General features: G+C 36.6%; 1 protein-coding gene across 8 annotated transcripts in view, besides 1 other annotated feature; it reads right to left on the bottom strand.

Annotated features, from left to right (window-relative positions):
• Positions 1 to 18,857, bottom strand: part of GSTCD (glutathione S-transferase C-terminal domain containing) — a 138,942-nt gene that overhangs the window by 59,606 nt on the left and 60,479 nt on the right. The window lies entirely within an intron of this gene.
• Positions 5,784 to 5,989: a silencer, noted in NCBI's record as "fragment chr4:106703288-106703493 (GRCh37/hg19 assembly coordinates)". NCBI's record gives its function as "represses an EF-1alpha promoter that drives an FKBP-Casp9 reporter gene in an ReSE screen in phorbol 12-myristate 13-acetate-treated (for megakaryocytic differentiation) K562 erythroleukemia cells {active_cell/tissue: K562(+PMA)}" and the evidence as "EXISTENCE:reporter gene assay evidence [ECO:0000049][PMID:32094911]".

Here is an 18,857-nt window from a genome sequence, read left to right as displayed (position 1 = left end):
GGAAACAAAACATCATATACACTATCATCACTAATACAAAGAAATCATGAAACTAAATAACAACAACACAACTCTGTACTAAAAGCAAAAACAAAAACCTGTAAAGAAATTCAGAAATTTTACAATGATTGTAAGACCAAAGGTGATTATTTTTCTTTCTTTTACTTTATCAATTTTGTAGTCAGTAAATGTATGTGAAGGTTATGATGTTCTAATGGAATAAAAGTTTTAAATGTTTAGTTTTAAAATAGTAATAATGATACCAAAAAATCGTGCTTTACATAATTTCTATATTCTTGAAAATTTGTTTGCAAACAAAAGTATAAATCTAGCTCCCAAGGGGGGAAAAAAGCTTTCAAACATTTCTATTTTATTGAATGCTTCTCATTAGCTCATGTCTTTTTTTTCCATCAGTATCCTTTAAGAGAGAATCCAAGGAGAATTTTCCTGACTCTGAATTTATTCTCAGACTCTGAGAATATTTGAAGAACGGTTTCCCAGTTTTCAAAAGGGACAATGCTGCTTCTCCCTGACTGACACCCACCATTTCATAACTCCACTCTCTAAGCTCCTAAGCAGCATTACTCAAAAAGTGATGATCCTTAGGCCCGCTGAGTCAGAATCACCTGTGGTCACTGTTAACGCAAATTCTGAAGCCAATTCTTGGCCTATTGATATATAATTTCTAGAGGTGGGGCCTTAAAATATGTATTTTAACAGGCATCCTCAGTAAGCTTTAGCATAACAGGGACAACAATCTAAGTACCCAAAGCATGTCCCCTGGACCAATGCACTGGCATCATCTGGAGACTGCTTAGAAAAGCAAACTTTTAGGCTCTACCTTAGATCTACTGAACTAGACACTCTGGGGTTAGGGCCTGGAAATCTTTAACAAACACCTTGTTGAACCTCATGCATGGAAAGTATGGGAACTATTGCTCTAAGACAGTGGTCTCCAAACTTTATTGAACACTTATCAGTAAAAAAAATATTTTGAGTATGTTCCCCATTCTCAGCATATGTAAATTACATAAATATATTACTGTTGATGGATACATCACATATAGCACATACATGACCATTCATTGCACAAGTTTTTGTTTGGGTGTATGTTTTCAATTCTCGTGGGTGTAAACATAGAGTAGACTTGCTGAGTCATATTATCATGTTTAAGCTTTAAGGGACTGTCAAAATGTTCTCCAAAGTGGCTGCAACATTTTACATTCCTAACGGCAGTATATGAGGATGCTAATTTATCCACATTCTGGCCAACATTTGTTATTATCTGGCTATTTTATTTGTAGCAATACTATCAGATGTGGAGTGGTATCTCATTACGGTTTTGATTTGCATTTCCCTAACAGCTAATGATGTTGAGCATATATTCATGTGCTTAGTATTTACCCATATCTCTTATTTGAAGAAATGTCTACTCAGATACTTTGCCCATTTTAAAATTGGGTTATTTGTCTTTTGTTATGGAAATAATATTGCTTTATATTTTTCAGATATAAGTTTCTTATCAGGCATATAATTTGCCATAATAGTCTCACATTATGTGGATTGTGGTCTTTTTTTTTTTTTTTTGGATGGTGTTTTTCTTTTGAGACCAAGTCTTGCTCTGTTGCCCAGGGCAGAGTGCAGTGGCGCGCAGTCTGCGGTTCACTGCAACCTTCGCCTCTGGCGTCCAAGCGATTCTCCTGACTCAGTCTCCTTAGTAGCTGGGACTACAAGTGCGAGCCACCACACTTGGCTAATTTTTTGTACTTTTAGTAGAGACAGGGTTTCTCCATGTTGACCAAGGTTGTCTCGAACTCCTGTCCTCAAGTGATCTGCCTGCCTCAGCCTCCGAAAGTGCTAGGATTTACAGGCATGAGCCACCATGCCCGGCCTTAAAAGTTTTAAAATGTTGATCATGTCCAATTTACATTTTTTATTTTATTGCTTGTATTTTTAGTGTCATTCTTAGAAGGCTTTGTATAATCCAGTATCACAAATAATTATGTCTATGTTTTCTTCCAAGAGTTTTATAGTTTTACATTTTACTTTATATCTTTGATCCATTTAGAGTTAAATTATGAGTATGATGTAATGTAAGGGTTATTGTAATCTTTATGATAGGGTTGTAAATGGGATTATTTTCTTCCTTTCACTTTCAGATTGTTCATTGCAGGTGCAAGTTCAACTAACTTGTATATTGCTTTTATATTCTGCAATATTGGTAAACTTGTTTAGTAATTGTAACAGTTTTTCAGTGGATGTCTTAGGATTTTCTGTATAGAAGATCATGTTATCTGCAAATAGAGATAGTTTTCTCCCTTCTCTTTTTCCAATGTAGAGGCCTTTTTTTTTCCTTTTTATTCCTAGTTGTCCTGGTAAGAGAAGACATTCTCATCATTACTGATTTTAGGGAGAATACATTTAGCCTTTACAATTAAGTATGATGTTAATTGTGGTTTTTGGTAGATGTCTTTTAACTGGTTGAGGATGTTCCCTTCTTTTCCTAGTTTGTTAAGTGTTTTAAGCATGAAAGTGTGCATTTTATCAAATGCCTTTTTTATGTAGGCATTAGGGAAATTGAGTGTCAAAATATTTCACAACTCATTGAACAAAATAAAAATCCATGAATCGATATTGATACAAATAAATGTGGTTGTTGCCCTGTATACTATTGATATGATGTATTATTTTAATTGACTTTTGGATGCTATATCAACCTTGCCTTTCTAGGGTAAATTGATTTGGTTATGGTGTATGATTTTTTTTTTAATCTGTTGCTGGATTTGGTTAACTAATACTTTGCTGAGAGTTTTCACATCTATATTCATAAGAGATGCTACTCTGTTTTCTTTTCCTGTGATGACTTTATATTAGTTTGTTTTAAAAATGTTATAAGTCAACAATTTTGAAAATACTTTCTGTGTATTCTACAAATGAGCAAATTTCTCAGGTTTCTTACTGTTCAACATGAGAAGACTAAAACAAACTCTCTGCTTCTGGATTAGAATTAGAAGTATCTGAGTATCTGTTTGATCTGATTACACACAAACATATACACAAACTGACACACATATGTCCTAGTTGTGTCCACTGAGAAGGCCTAAAAGCAGTAGCATACCAGTAGCTATTATTACACTGTACATCCAGATCTTGGAATAAAGGCTACTTTCAGCGCTAGGTCAGACAAAGGACAATATAATCTTGGAACATTTTGTGATGTCAGAAATCAAGGAAGTGCTCCAGGAGTGATGAGAACATGTCAAAACGATGCAGGAGTTAGTTTGAAGGGGCTTTTACTGGCCAAATGTGGGAAAATTTGAGTATCAAAATAAATAATGATAATAATAGAATGTAATCCATTGAAAAAATAAGAATCCACGAATTTATCCTGATACAGATAAAGAAAACAAATGATAAGTGGGGAAGAGAAAGGAAAGCTTTTCCTTAGTTTGCCAATTAATGAATGTAGAATAAATTATGGGTGCTAGAAAGTCACAATTTTGCAAACATTATAGTAATTAATGATAATTAATTCAGGCAACAATCATCAATGGATGCTATTTTGGGTTGTATGTGTTCCCCAAAAGTTCATGTGTTGTAAGTTTAATCCAATGCAACTTTGTTGGAAGGTAAGGCTTAATAACAGGTGATCAGGTTGTGAGGGCTCTGCCCTCATGAATGGGTTAATGTTATTATTTAGGGAATGGGTTAGTTATTGGGAGGGTGAATTGTTATAAAGCTAGTCTGGTCCCTGGTGTCTCTCTCTGTCTCATGTGCTCTCTTCTGCCTTCCACATTCTGCCATGGGATGACCCTCACCAGATGCTAGTGCCATGCTCTTCGACTTCTCCACCTCAAAAACCATGAGCCAAATAAATTTCTATTTTTATAATTTACCTAGTCTATGATATTCTGTTACAGCAACAAAAAACAAACTACGACAGATGCTAAATGAAAAGCAGGTGAGGAATAAGATATGTACATAGTCTCAGACTACCACAAATTACTTAATTGCAAAGTAAAAAACAGTAACATTACAGTACAGAAACCTGGCAGGTGCCATATTAACTAGGTACTTAACATCACCATTAACAATAACAGGATAAACTAACATCCCATGCCTTTTCTGTGGTGCATCACTTCTGTAGTATTCCTGCCCCAAATCCATAATATGAATCTAATCAGACAAACTCAAATTGATGGACATTCTTCAAACTAATTTGCTTGTACTCTCCAAAAATATGAAGATCATAAATGACAAAAGAGAAGCTAATTCTGTATTAAAGGAAACTAAGGAAACTTGAAAACTACATACAATATAATCTTGAACTGAATAAGATATAAGATAAATATAAAAGATATTGGGACAATTGATGACATTTGAATATAGGCTATGGAGATAGTAACATTGTATCCATATTAAAATTCCTGACTTTGATCATTCTATTCTGGTTATATAAAAGAATGTAAGGGTTAAACGGGTGCAGTGCCTACAACTCACTTTTAACTGGTTCAAGAAAAATATATACATACACATACACACATATACAGAGGGAGAGAGAAAGAAAAAGAACTGGAGCATGAATGATAAAAAAAAATTGGGCAAAATAAAAATGTAAACAGTGAATCTGGATTTTTTTGTACTATTTTTGTAATTTTCTGTAAATTTAGATTACATTAATATAAAAAAGTTTTAAGGCATATAGGTCAACACCAACTGCACACCACCCTGAATTTTACCAAGAATGTATCAGGAAGTTTAGTTTCAGAAAGTATAATATACCAACCTGCTAAAGCAACAGAAAGCTACTTTTTTGTAAAATGAAAAGATCCTATGTAGCAGAATGGAAACAAAAAAAGAAGCTAACACTGTCTCTAACATATTCATTTCAGAAAGCTGTTTGTTCTAAAGGGTAAACAGAAAAAGTTCAATTTCCTGAAGATGTAATCTAGTACTATCCACACCAGGTGCAATATCCAATCTTATCCAAATAAATCAGCCCAAATTTATGCCTCTAGGAGGAAGAAAGGTCAAATTCGAACAAATTGTCCATCTCAGACAGAGGGAAAGAATGTGAGATGTGCTTTGTAGAAATAAAATGAACTTGTGTTCCAGCATAGTTATTATCAATGAGATGACTTTGACATTACAGAAAAAAATTACTTGAGTTTAGCCCAAATTGGTAGTTATTTTTAAAAATACATTATATGTACACAAACACAATAATTCTTTTCATAAAACTTAAAGTGAAAGTCCTGAAATAAACTATCTACATATGAATTAAGACAAAAAATCAGAAGCGATTATTAAGAATTCTCAAGTAAGCCCGAGCAACATGGTGAAACCCCGTCTCTATTATAAATACAAAAATTAGCTGGGCATGATGGTGCATGCCTGTAATCCCAGCTACTAGGGGACCTGAGGCATGAGAATCGTTTGAACCCAGGAGGAGGTAGCAGTGAGCCAAGATCACAGCATTGTACTCCAGCCTGAGTGACAGAGCAAGACTCTGTCTCAAAAAAAAAAGGATTCTCAAGTAATCATAATTCCTATATATTATGAAGCCATGAATGATGTTTTTATCTTTCTCCTGTTTTTTGGTGGTTGTTTTGTTTTGTTTTGTTTTTTGAGATAGGGTCTCACTCTGTTGCCCAGGCTGGACTGCAGTGGCATGAACATGGCTCACTGCAGCCACAACCTCTTGGGCTCAACAGATCCTTCTGCCTCAGCCTGTCACATAGCTGGGAGGTGCGCACACCATGCTTGGCTAATTTTTAAATTTTTTGTAGAAATGAGATCTTGCTATGTTGCCCAGGCTGGTCTTGAACTCCTGAGCTCAAGTGATCCTCCCACCTTGGCCTTCCAAAGTGCTGGGATTACAGGCATGAGCCACCACACCTGGCCGTCTTTCTCCTTTTTCCTTTTCTTTCTCTTCCCCTGTTCCTCATATTCTCTTCATTTATTTTTCTCCCAACTACCCTGCTTGTGAAGGTTAACCAGAACATTGCTTAGTTTTGCCAGTGGCATTCAGAGTTTACAGAGGTTGCAGACCTTGTACAAGGTATGCGCAAGAAGTGGCACATTTATTCTGACAGGGCATTTAAATGAAGCAAAATATCTTTCAAAGCATCTCACAGAAAAACTATTCCTGCTAGGAAAAGAGTCTCTGGGCTTCAAAATACGAACTACCCCACACAGACATGCTATGCACCTTAGAAAATAGCACTATGGCAATTCCTGACCACTGTGGGAAAAGTTCATTTTGACTTAGAAGTGCTTCATCCAAACCCGCATTATCTTTGTTAAAAAAAAAAAAAGAAAAAAAAGATAAGTAGTTAAATAAACTAAGATACAGAATTATAAGTGCAAAAATATTCCAAAAATTTAGATTTTATTTTTAAAAATCTTATCAAAAATATATTTGTGTTTTAATTCTTCCTTCCCTTAGCAATAGATGTATTTTCACTTTTTCTTGCTTGTTCTACTTCTGTTCTGCGTAGAATACTTCTTAAGAATGCTAATAGAGTCATGAGTCCAATTTTGTTTCTAAAGAAAGGAAAATTAGGCTGAGAAAGATGACTCACGCCTGTAATTGGGCACTTTGCGAGGCTAAGGCTACAGGATTGCTTGAGGCCAGGAGTTCGAGACCAGCCTGGGCAATAAAGCAAAAGGCTCCATCTCTACAAAAACTTTAAAAAAAAAAAAAAAGCTGAGCATGATGGCACACGCCTGTATTCCTAAGTACTTGGGGGGCTGAGGGGGAGGATCCCTTTAGCTCAGGAGTTTGAGGCTACAGTGAGCTATAATTGTGCCACTGCATTCCAGCCTGGAAACAGAGCAAGACCCTGTCTCAAAAATTAAAAAGAAAAGGAAAATTAAATTTAGTAAGTTCAAAGAGAAACAAAATATCATGATGAAATAAAATACTAAATAATGTTAACATTTATATTCCACTGTTTATGCCTCAACAAAAATATCAAAGTACTGGGTGAGAGGAGAAAGTAAAGCCAGGCACTGTGCAAGTTATTTTATACATTATTTTACTTAAGAATGTGAGGTAAATATTATGATTCTCCAAGCTAAGAAATTTAAGGCTTGGAAATGTTAGCTAATTTGCTTGAGATTAAGTAGCTAGGATACACCTTTAAATTCAGGCCTGCTTGAAAACTTGAGTTTTGCTTATATGTCTCTCTACTGCCTCCCTGGAATTTTTCTACTAATGTTATAGCAACATAATAATATCTTGACTTTTCAAATAAAGCAGGAGGAAAATAATTCCAGAAGTAAATGAAAATTTCTGAAATAAATTATAGGGATATAGTATATACTATACTTTCAGACTCTGCTAAATTAATCAATACTTGACTATTCAAGCAATTTCATAAATCAAATATAAATTATAAATTAATACTTCTATTATAAAAGAATCATTTGACATGAGTTAAATGTGGGAATCACTAACAAACTAATCTCTAAAAGTTAATTTAAAAAAGTTGGGAGGTGATAACAGCACAACATTTTCCCCTTTAGTGTCTATAATATCTTCTGCAGTGAAAGATATCCTCATAATGACATGCTCAAATATTTCATCCATTCATTCTGTTCAGTCAGTTCTTATATGGCTCAGACTTCTTGCTATCAGCTGGGGAACAGGATATAGTAAAATTTCCTGTAAGCTTTATTCTATCAATCTGGTTGCTAGCCAGATACAGTAACACATACATAAACTTAGCCAGGAAACATTTTCCAGAGCATTATAAAAAGAGGCCTTAGGGCAAACCAGTGAGCCAATGAACAAGGCAGGCGAATATTGTGAGACAGCGCTTCCCTAGCCTGAAATCTCAGTTCAAATTCCCTATAGTGCCCATCAATTTCACACTTCATCATCTAGAGCAGGTTGCTGGTAATAAGTCATAGGCAACTGATGTGGTGAGGATACCATCTTTGACATACTCCTGGGTCTGTCCATCATGAGAAATGGCAGAAACACATTTTGTGTTCCTCTTGTTAAGTGAGGTTGATTATTCATTATTATTAACATGTATTTGTTGGCAAGGAGCAATATGAAACATGTAATTAGATTCAACATATGCACTGCAGGATTTGTAATCAGGCAGTAGTTTTTTCTCTCTTGAGGGGAAAATAAGAAAGAAAGAATGATCAGGCATAAAATCTGAGTATCATATATCTTTCTATATAAAAGAGCACTGTTGATTTAAAATTAATTCTGACTTAAAAGAAAATTCCTTCTCTCAAATGTCTGAAAAAGCTAACCAATACTAAGTGAGCATTAATAGGCAATGCCTGAATCTTTTCCCTATTAGTGGCCTCAGATTTGGGTGGCAAAATTTGGCAAAATAAATCTGTCAAACCAATTACTTAGTTCAACCTCTTTATTTGTACCTGTCAAAAACATTCTTGCACAATGCTCTATTTCATATCAAACCCATGTTAGTATTTAATACCATAGATAACTAAATTTCTTACTAAAGAGTGTCTTTCTATATTTATCTTCATTTAACAATAAATACACTTGACAAATTGCAAAAATTTGACAGAGAACCTTGCAGAGAAAGTGTTATTCCATACTTAATATTTTACTGATTGGCTAAAAAATGAAAAATGTTAAATATAAATAAAATTGAGAAATATAAGTTTTCAAACATTCTAAAAAATTATAAAAGTGTTTCTTTCCAAATTTCCAAAATTTATGTTTTACTATTTTTGTTGTCCTCCTGACATGATGCACTGAGAAGAAAATATCACTTCTATGCTATTCCTGCTCCAAGTGCACCACCTGATTCTAATCATCAGAAAACACCAGACAAATACAAGTTGAGGGGCATTCTGCAAAATAACTGGTCTGTGTTCTTCAAGAAGGTTAAGGCCAAGAAAGACAAAGAAAGACTGAGGAAGTGTTCCAGATTAAAAGAGAACCAGAGAGATGTGACAACTACATGTAAAACATAAATATGGGATTTTTCTGTTGTTATAAAGGATGTTATTGGGACAAATGGCAAAATCTAAATAAGGTCTGTGGAATAGATAATAATATTGCATGATCTTAATTTGATAATTGTTTTTTGGTTATTTAAGAAAATATCCTATTTTTTGTTATTTTTAAGAATCTCACTCTGGCGTATTCAGGAGTAAATGATGGGTGTCATGTCTGCAACTATTTCACATAGTTCAGACAGAGAATGAGTATGTGTGGGTGAGAGAGAAAAGGAGAGAAATAAAGTAAAGATGTCAAAATGTTAACATTGAGGAATCTGGATAAAAGGTATATTAGAATTATTGTACTATTCTTGTAACTTTCATATGTCTGGAAAGTATATTAAAACAAAAAATTTAAAAAGAGTATGACAGAAAAAATCTTAGTTACATTATTATGGAACATATTATAATTCAAGACATGTTTAATTAAAATAAAATGACCTTGAACTTCATATAATATATATCCCTTGATTGTTTTCACATATCAAGCAATTGCAGCTGTTGTAAGCTGTCACTTATATAGATTTCTCTCAAATTTAGCTATACCAGTGGGGAAAAAAATGGCATGATAATCCTTAACAGCTGACAACTTAAAGCCATTTGCAAAGTATTGTCTCACTAATTCAAATAAACAGGAAGAATAATATATAGCTGAAATAAACAATATTTTAAAATAAATGTTTTCTTTGTACTTTTAAATGGATATTGCAAACAAAAATATTAAGGAAATGTTGCCATACAGAGATCCTTCAAGTTAGTGTGAAAGATGACGTGTGCATGTGTGTGTATATACACATATATACTATAAGTGAGTTTTTGTTATTTATTTAACATGTAGTCTATATATGGGGTGTTAAAACACAGGCTAATATTTACCATATTCTTACTATGCCAATGCTTTAGATGCATTTATTAACAAACCGACCCATTGAGTAGGTTCTATTATTAATGTAAAGCTTAGCTGACACTTCTCCCTGAAATTGCATGTCATTGGCTTCCAATGTTTTTTTGTTGTTCATTTCTGTCAAATCATAACTCAGACGTGAAAGTTCAAATGCCAACTCCAATCAAGTCTTCCTTAATCCAACAATCAGAACTAATCATTCCCTCTTCTGAATTCCTATAAGCCTTTATTCAACAACATTTGTTAAAGTTCTCCTAAATATATGTATTAAACACTTGCTACATCCAAAACACTGAGTGATTTGTAAGAGTTCACAGGGTAGAAGGGATTGTTAATATATAATTAAAATTATATAATAATTAAAAATGCCTTGAATTTATTGGAAACTTACCAATGAACCAAGCATGGTACTAAGTGTGTTACAAACGTTGTCTTCTTTAACTCTTACTGCTACCCTATACAGAAGTCATTACTAACATCCCCATTTTGCAGATGAGAAAACCAAGACTTAGAGAAAGCAAGTAACTTGCCTAGGTAGGCAAAACTGGTAAAGACAGAGTCTGGTCTATCTGACTCAAAAGCTTATGCTTTTAAGCTACTTCCTGCCTGCAAAAGGTAGCAGTCTCATGGAGGAGAAAATGTGAACCTAAGTAACTTATAGTTCAAGGTTAAAAAGTAATGTTCCATAGAAAAAGAAGGAAGATGTTGAGAAAGGAAGGAAGACTTGCTATCTAATATCTAAGCTGCATATTGAAAGATAAATAGAAATGTGATAAAGGGAGGAAAGTCATTCCAGATTGGCAATAACAAAGAGGTTTCGGGAATTCTGAGGACGTACATGAGAAATAGAAACTAGTTATGCCTGGAGGATCCATGTTCTACGTAAGAAAATTAATATCAGAAAGATAAGCATATATATATATACACACACATACATCGGCTAAGATTAAATACAAAATTATAGAATTTTAATTTCCCTACTAGTGTGATATGCATAAATTCTGAATCAATTCACTATCCTTAGGTGCCAGAATGTACCAGACATAAAAATGTATCAATATATTTTTGTTTACTAAGTAGAATTTATTTGGTCAGCTTTTAATAAATGGTAACTCACAAAACTCCCATTGCATGAAGAAAGTTATTAACATTTTATTCTTTTCCATTCCAGAACAGATGCTCAATGTGATTAGGGTTCTATATTATGAAGATTAATCCAACAACCATCATAGATTGAGTTGGACAGATACAGAATGGAGAATGGCAGGTAGTTATAAAGTAATAGGACTCCCCCAAAGCATACTGCAGCATAGTAGAGATGGATGGCCCCACAAAGCTCATTCAACACAATTTCCTTATCCTGGAGATGAGGAAATCAAGAAAAGATAAAGTTAGAATCTTTAAGAATGTACGGAGTATCAGGCTGGCAAGCTGGCCGAATAGGAACAGCTCCAGTCTGCAGCTCCCAGCAAGATCAATGCAGAAGGTGGATGATTTCTGCATTTCCAACTGAGCTACCTGGCTCATCTCATTGGGACTGGTTAGACAGTGGGTACAGCCCACAGAGGTGAGTTGAAGCAGGGTGGGGCATTGCCTCACCGATGAAGTGCAAGGTGTCAGGGAACTCCCTCCCCTAGCCAAGGGAAGCCCTGAGGAACTGTGCCGTGAGGAAAGGTGCACTTCAGCACAGATACTATGCTTTTCCCATGGTCTTCTCAAACCAAAGTCCAGGATATTCCCTTGGGTGCCTACACCACCAGGGCCCTGGGTTTCAAGCACAAAACTGGGCGGCTGTTTGGGTAGACACAGAGCTAGCTGCAGGAGTTTTTTTTCATACCCCAGTGGCACCTGGAATGCCAGCGAGACAAAACCATTCACTACCCTGGAATGGGGGTTGAAGCCAGGGGGCCAAGTGGTCTAGCTCAGCAGATTCCACCCCCACAGAGCCCAGCAAGCTAAGATCCACTGACTTGAAATTCTCGCTGCCAGCACAGCAGTCTGAAGGCAACTTTGGAGCTTGGTGTGGGGAGTGGTGTCTGCCATTACCGAGGCTTGAGTAGGTGGTTTTCCCCTCGCAGTATAAACAAAGCCACCAGGAAGTTAGAACTGGGCGTAGCCCACCGAAGTCCAGCAAAGCTGCTGTAGCCAGACTGTCTCTCTAGATTCCTCCTCTCTGGACAGGGCATCTCTGAAAGAAAGGCAGCTGCCCCAGTCGGGCTTATGGATAAAACTCCCATCTCCCTGGGACAGAGCACCTGGGGGATGGGGCAGCTGTGTGCGCACTTTCAGCAGACTTCAATGTTCCTGCCTGTTGGCTCTGAAGAGAGCATATCTCCCAGCACAGCACTCAAGCTCTGCTGAGGGACAGACTGCCTTCTCAAGTGGGTCCCTGACCACCGTGCCTCCTGACTGGGAGACACCTCCCAGCAGGGGTCAACAGACACCTCATACAAAAGAGCTCTGGCTGACATCTGGCAGGTGCCCCTGCGGAACAAAGCTTCCAGAGGAAGGAACAGGCAGCAATCTTTGCTGTTCTGCAGCCTCCACTGGTGATACCCAGGCAAACAGGGTGTGGAGCAGACCTCCAGCAAACTCCAGCAGACCTGCAGCAGACGGGACTGAGTGTTAGAAAGAAAACTGATAAACAGAAAGGAATAGCATCAACATCAACAAAAAGGACGTCCACACAGAAACCCCATCCAAAGATCACCAACATGAAGACCAAAGGTAGATAAATCCACGAAGATGATGAAAAACCAGTGCCAAAAGCCTATAAATTCCAAAATCCAGAATGCCTTTTCTCCCCCAAAGGATCACAACTCGCCAGCAAGGGAACAAAACTGGATGGAAAATGAGTTTGGCGAATTGACAGAAGTAGGATTCAGAAGGCAATAGCAAACGCCTTCAAGCTAAAAGAACATGTTCTAACCCAATGCAAAGAAGCTAAGAACCTTGAAAAAAGGTTAGAGGAATTGCTAATAGAATAACCAGTTTAGAGAAGAACATAAATGACCTGCTGGAACTGAAAAACACAGCACAAGAACTTTGTGACGCATAAAAAAGTATCAATAGCCTAATCAATCAAGAAGAAAGGATATCAGAGACTGACGATCAATGTAATGAAATAAAGCATGAAGACAAGATTAGAGAAAAAAGAATGAAAAGGAATGAACAAAGCCTCCAAGAAATATGGGACTATGTAAAAAGACGAAACCTAAGTTTGATTGGTGTACCTGAAAGTGACAGGGAGACTGGAACCTAGTTGAAAAACACTCCTTGGGATATTATCCAGGAGAACTACCCCAACCAGTCTAGAAAGATAGGCCCAATTTCAAATTCAGGAAATACAGAGAACACCACAAAGGTACTCCTCAAGAAGAGTAGCCCCAAGACACATAATCATCAGATTCACCAAGGTTGAAATGAAGGAAAAAATGTTAAGGGCGGCCAGAGAGAAAGGTCAGGTTACCCACAAAGGGAAGCCCGTCAGACTAACAGCGGATCTCTCTGAAGAAAACCTACAAGCCAGAAGAGAGTGGGGACCAATATTCAACATTCTTAAAGAAAAGAATTTTCAACCCAGAGTTTCATATCCAGCCAAACTAAGCTTCATAAGCAAAGGAGAAATAAAATCCTTTATAGACAAGCAAATGCTGAGGGATTTTGTCACCACCAGGCCTGCCTTACAAGAGCTCCTGAAGGAAGCACTAAATATGGAAAGGAAAAACCAGTACCAGCAACTGCAAAAACATACGAAATTGTGAAGATTATCGACACTATGAAGAAATTGAATCAACTAATGGGCAAAATAACCGGCTTGCATCATAATGACAGTTTCAAATTCACACATAACAATATTAAACTTAATGTAAATGGGCTAAATGCCCCAATTAAAAGACACAGACTGGCAAATTGAATACAGTCAAGACCCATCAGTGTGCTCTATTCAAGAGAGCCATCTCATGTGCAAAGACATACATAGGCTCAAAATAAAGGGATGGAGGAATATTTACCAAGCAAATGGAAAGCAAAAAAGCAGGGGTTGCAATCCTAGTCTCTGATAAAACTGACTTTAACTAACAAAGATCAAAAGAGACAAAGAAGGGCATTACATAATGGTAAGGGGATCAATGCAATAAGAAGAGCTAACTATCCTAAATATATATGCACCCAATACAGGAGCACCCCAGATTCATAAAGCAAGTTCTTAGAGACCTACAAAGAGACTGAGACTCCCACACAATAATAGTGGGAGACTTTAACACCCCACTGTCAATATTAGCCAGACCAATGAGACAGAAAATTAACAAGGATATTCAAAATTTGAACTCAGCTCTGGACCAAGCGAACCTAATAAACATCTACAGAACTCTCCACCCCAAATCAACAGAATATACATTCTTCTCAGCACCACATCACACTTATTCTAAAACTGACCACATAATTGGAAGTAAAACACTCCACAGCAAATGCAAAAGAACAGAAATCATAACAGTCTCGCAGACCACAGTGCAATCAAATTAGAACTCAGGATTAAGAAACTCACTCAAAACTGCACAACTACATGGAAACTGAACAACCTGCTCCTGAGTGACTACAGGGTAAATAACGAAATTAAGGCTGAAATAAATAAGTTCTTTGAAAACAATGAGAAAAAAGGCACAATGTACCAGAATCTCTGGGACACAGCTAAAGCAGTGTTAACAGGGAAATTTATAGCACTAAATGTCCACAGGAGAAAGCAGGAAAGATCTAAAATCAACACCCTAACATCACAATTAAAAGAACTAGAGAAGCAAGAGCAAACAAATTCAGAAGCTGGTAGAAGACAAGAAATAACTAAGATCAAAGCAGAACTGAGGGAGACAGAGACATGAAAAACCCTTCAAAAAAAATCAATGAATCCAGGAGCTGGATTTTTGAAAAGATTAACAAAATAGATAGACAGCTAGCCAGACTAATAAAGAAGAAAAGTGAGAAGAATCAAACAGACATGATAAAAAATGATAAAGGGGATATCACCACTATCCCACAGAAATACAAACTACCATAAAAGAATACTATGAACACCTCTATACAAATAAACTAGAAAATCTACAAGAAATGGATAAATTCCTGGACACATACACCTTCCCAGGACTAAACCAGGAAGAAGTCCAATCCCTGAATAGACCAATAACAAGTTCTGAAATTGAGGCAGTAATTAATAGCCTACCAACCAAAAAAAGTCCAGGACCAGACAGATTCACAGCCGAATTCTACCAGAGGTACAAAGAGAAGCTGGTACTATTCCTTCTGAAACTATTGCAAACAACAGAAAAAGAGGGACTCCTCCCTAACTCATTTTATGAGGCCAACATCATCCTGATACTAAAACCTGGCAGAGACACAACAAAAAAAGAAAACTTCAGGCTAATATCCATGATGAACTTTGAAGCAAAAATCCTCAATAAAATACTGGCAAACCAAATCCAGTAGCACATCAAAAAGCTTATCCACCATGATCAAATTGGCTTCATCCCTGGGATGCAAAGCTGGTTCAACATATGCAAATCAATAAATGTAATCCATCATATAAACAGAACCAATGACAAAAACCACATGATTATCTCAATAGATGCAGAAAAGGCCCTCGATAAAATTCCACACCACTTCATGCTAAAAACACTCAATAAATTAGGTACTGATGGAACACATATCAAAACAATAAGAGCTATTTATGACAAACCCACAGCCAATATAGTACTGAATAGGCAAAAGCTGGAAGCATTCCCTTTGAAAACTGGCACAAGGATCTCCTCTCTCACCACTCATATTCAACATAATATTGGAAGTTCTGGTCAGGGCAATCAGGCAAGAGAAAGAAATAAAGGGTTATTCAAATAGGAAGAGAGGAAGTCAAATTATCTCTGTTTGCAGATGACATGACTGTTTATTTAGAAAACCCCATTGTCTTAGCCCCAAAACTCCTTAAGCTGATAAGCACCTTCAGCAAAGTTGTATACAAAGTAGTGTGCAAAAATCACAAGCATTGCTATGCACCAATAATGGACAAACAGCCAAATCATGAGTGAACTCCCATTCACAATTGCTACTAAGAGAATAAAATACCTAGGAATACAACTTACAATGGATGTGAAGCACCTTTTCAAGAACTACAAACCACTGCTCAAGGATATCAGAGAGGACACAAACAAATGGAAAAACATTCCATGCTCATGGATAGGAAGAATCAATATCGTGAAAATGGCCATACTGCCCAAAGTAATTTATAGATTCAGTGCTATCAACATCAAGCTACCATTGACTTTCTTCACAGAATTAGAAAAAAACTACTTTAAAGTTCATATGGAACCAAAAAAGAGCCTGTATAGCCAAGACAATCCTAAGCAAAACGAACAAATCTGGAGGCATCATGCTACCTGACTTCAGACTATACTACAAGGCTACAGTAACCAAAACAGTATGGTACTGGTACCAAAACAGATATATAGACGAATGGAACAGAACAGAGGCCTCAGAAGTAACATCACACATCTACAACCGTCTGATCTTTGACAAACCTGACAAAAACAAGCAATGGGAAAAGGATTCCCTATTTAATAAATGGTGTTGGGAAAACTGACTAGCCATATGCTGAAAACTGAAACTGGACCCCTTCCTTACACCTTATACAATAATTAACTTAAGATGGATTAAAGACTTAAATGTTAGACCTAAAACCATAAAAACTCTAGAAGAAAACCTAGGCAATACCATTCAGGACATAGGAATGGGCAAAGACTTCATGACTAAAACACCAAAACCAATGGCAACCAAAGCCAAAACTGACAAATGGGATTTAATTAAACTAAAGAGCTTTTGCACAGCAAAAGAAACTATCATCAGAGTGAATAGGCAACCTACAGAATGGGAGAAAATTTTTGCAATTTATCCATCTGTTAAAGGGCTAATATCCAGAATCTACAAGAAACTTAAACAAATTTGCAAGAAAAAAAAAACCTCATCAAAAAGTTGGCGAAGTATATGCACGGACAGTTCTCAAAAGAAGACATTTATGTGGCCAACAAACATATGGAAAAAAAACTCATCATCACTGTTCGTTAGAGAAATTCAAATCAAAACCACAATGAGATACCATCTCATGGCAGTTAGAATGGCGATCATTAAAAAGTCAGGAAACAACAGGTGCTGGAGAGGATATGGAGAAATAGGAATGCTTTTACACTATTGATGGGAGTATAAATTAGTTCAACCATTGTGGAAGACAGTGTGGCGATTCCTCAAGGATACAGAACCAGAAATACCATTTGACCCAGCAATCCCATTATTGGGTATATACCCTTAGGATTATAAATCATTCTGCTGTAAAGACACATACACACATAGTTTATTGCAGCACTGTTCACAATACCACAGACTTGGAACCAACCCAAATGGCCATCAATGATAGACTGGATAAAGAAAATGTGGCACATATACACCATGGAATACTATGCAGCCATAAAAAAGGATGAGTTCATGTCCTTTGCAGGGACATGGATGAAGCTGGAAACCATCATTCTCAGCAAACTAACACAGGGACAGAAAACCAAACACTGCATATTCTCACTCATAAGTGGGAGTTGAATAATGAGAACACATGGACACAGGGAGGGGAATATCATACTCCAGGGCCTGTTAGAGTTTGGGGGAATAGAGGAGGGATAGCATTAGGAGAAATACCTAATGTAGGTGACGGATTGATGGGTGCAGCAAACCACCATGGCACATGTATACTTATTTAACAAACCTGCATGTTCTGCACATGTATCCCAGAACTTAAAGTATAATAATAAAAAAAAAAGGAAAAAAAAAAAGTATAAGGAACAGACAGTTAATTTTTGTTAAGCAAGTAATTCTCAGAAAGGTGCTACGCGGGGAAATGCTAAAATAGAAGACGCTCAGTCTAAACGCTAAGTAAAAGAAAAACATAAGAAATAAAACAGAATGAGCAGCTATAAACGTGCTGAACTTTTAAGATCTGAGTTTCATATTTAATTCAGTTTGCCGCTATGTGGTTAAGTCAAAACGGACTTTCAAAGCAAGCTTTTTCTTCTGCCAATCTGTCAAATCATGTTAGGATATAGATGATGTGTATAAGCAAACAAATAAAATCTGGGCCGGGTGTGGTGGTTCACACCTGTAATCCTAGCATTTTGGGAGGCTGAGGTGGGAGGATTGCTTAAACTCAGGAATTGGGAGACCAGCCTGCAAAACGTAACAATATTGTATCTCTATTCAAAATTTTTTTAAAAATTAGGCAGGCATGGTGGTGGGCCTGTAGTCCCACCTACTCAGGAGGCTGAGGTGAGAGGATCACTTCAGCCCAGGAGATTGAGGCTGCAGTGAGCTATAAATGTGCCATTGCATTCCAGCCTGGGTGACAGAGTGAGGCCTTGTCTCAAAAATAAATAAAATAAAATCTGTATTCTGATTGTAAAGGTAACATATACACAAAAAATCAGGGGTAAAAAATGTGGAATACCAAAAAACAAATAAACAAATTAAATAATCTATTATAAACTATACCAGCCAGGAAAGCTATTATTACAAATTTTGCTTGCAAAATTGATACAAATTCTGGAGATTCTAGGAAGAGAAAACAGCAATTGCAAAGGTGCAGAGGAAGGAAATCATGAGACATTCAATAATCTAAAAATAGAAACTTGGAATAAAAACCTGGGGAGGACAGGGAAATAGTAAAAGATGAAGCTTCAGTTGATCATAAACCACATCTTCCAGCTGTAGATCCATAAAATGTGGTTACCATGGGTAGGTTAATTTTATCCATGGTTTACTAGCTGCTTCCTTTATCAGCAAACTGTCACTGGTTCATGAAGACTGCCCCTCTGCAGACCTAGCCTTATGATGGCTTTATCCTCTTGGCAGGAAAGGAAAAGTGGTGTGTGTGTGT

Source organism: Homo sapiens, chromosome 4 (assembly GCF_000001405.40).
Source record: "Homo sapiens chromosome 4, GRCh38.p14 Primary Assembly".
Taxonomy (NCBI): domain Eukaryota; kingdom Metazoa; phylum Chordata; class Mammalia; order Primates; family Hominidae; genus Homo; species Homo sapiens.
Note: the sequence above shows the minus strand (reverse complement) of the source record. Positions and strands in the feature narration are given on the sequence as shown.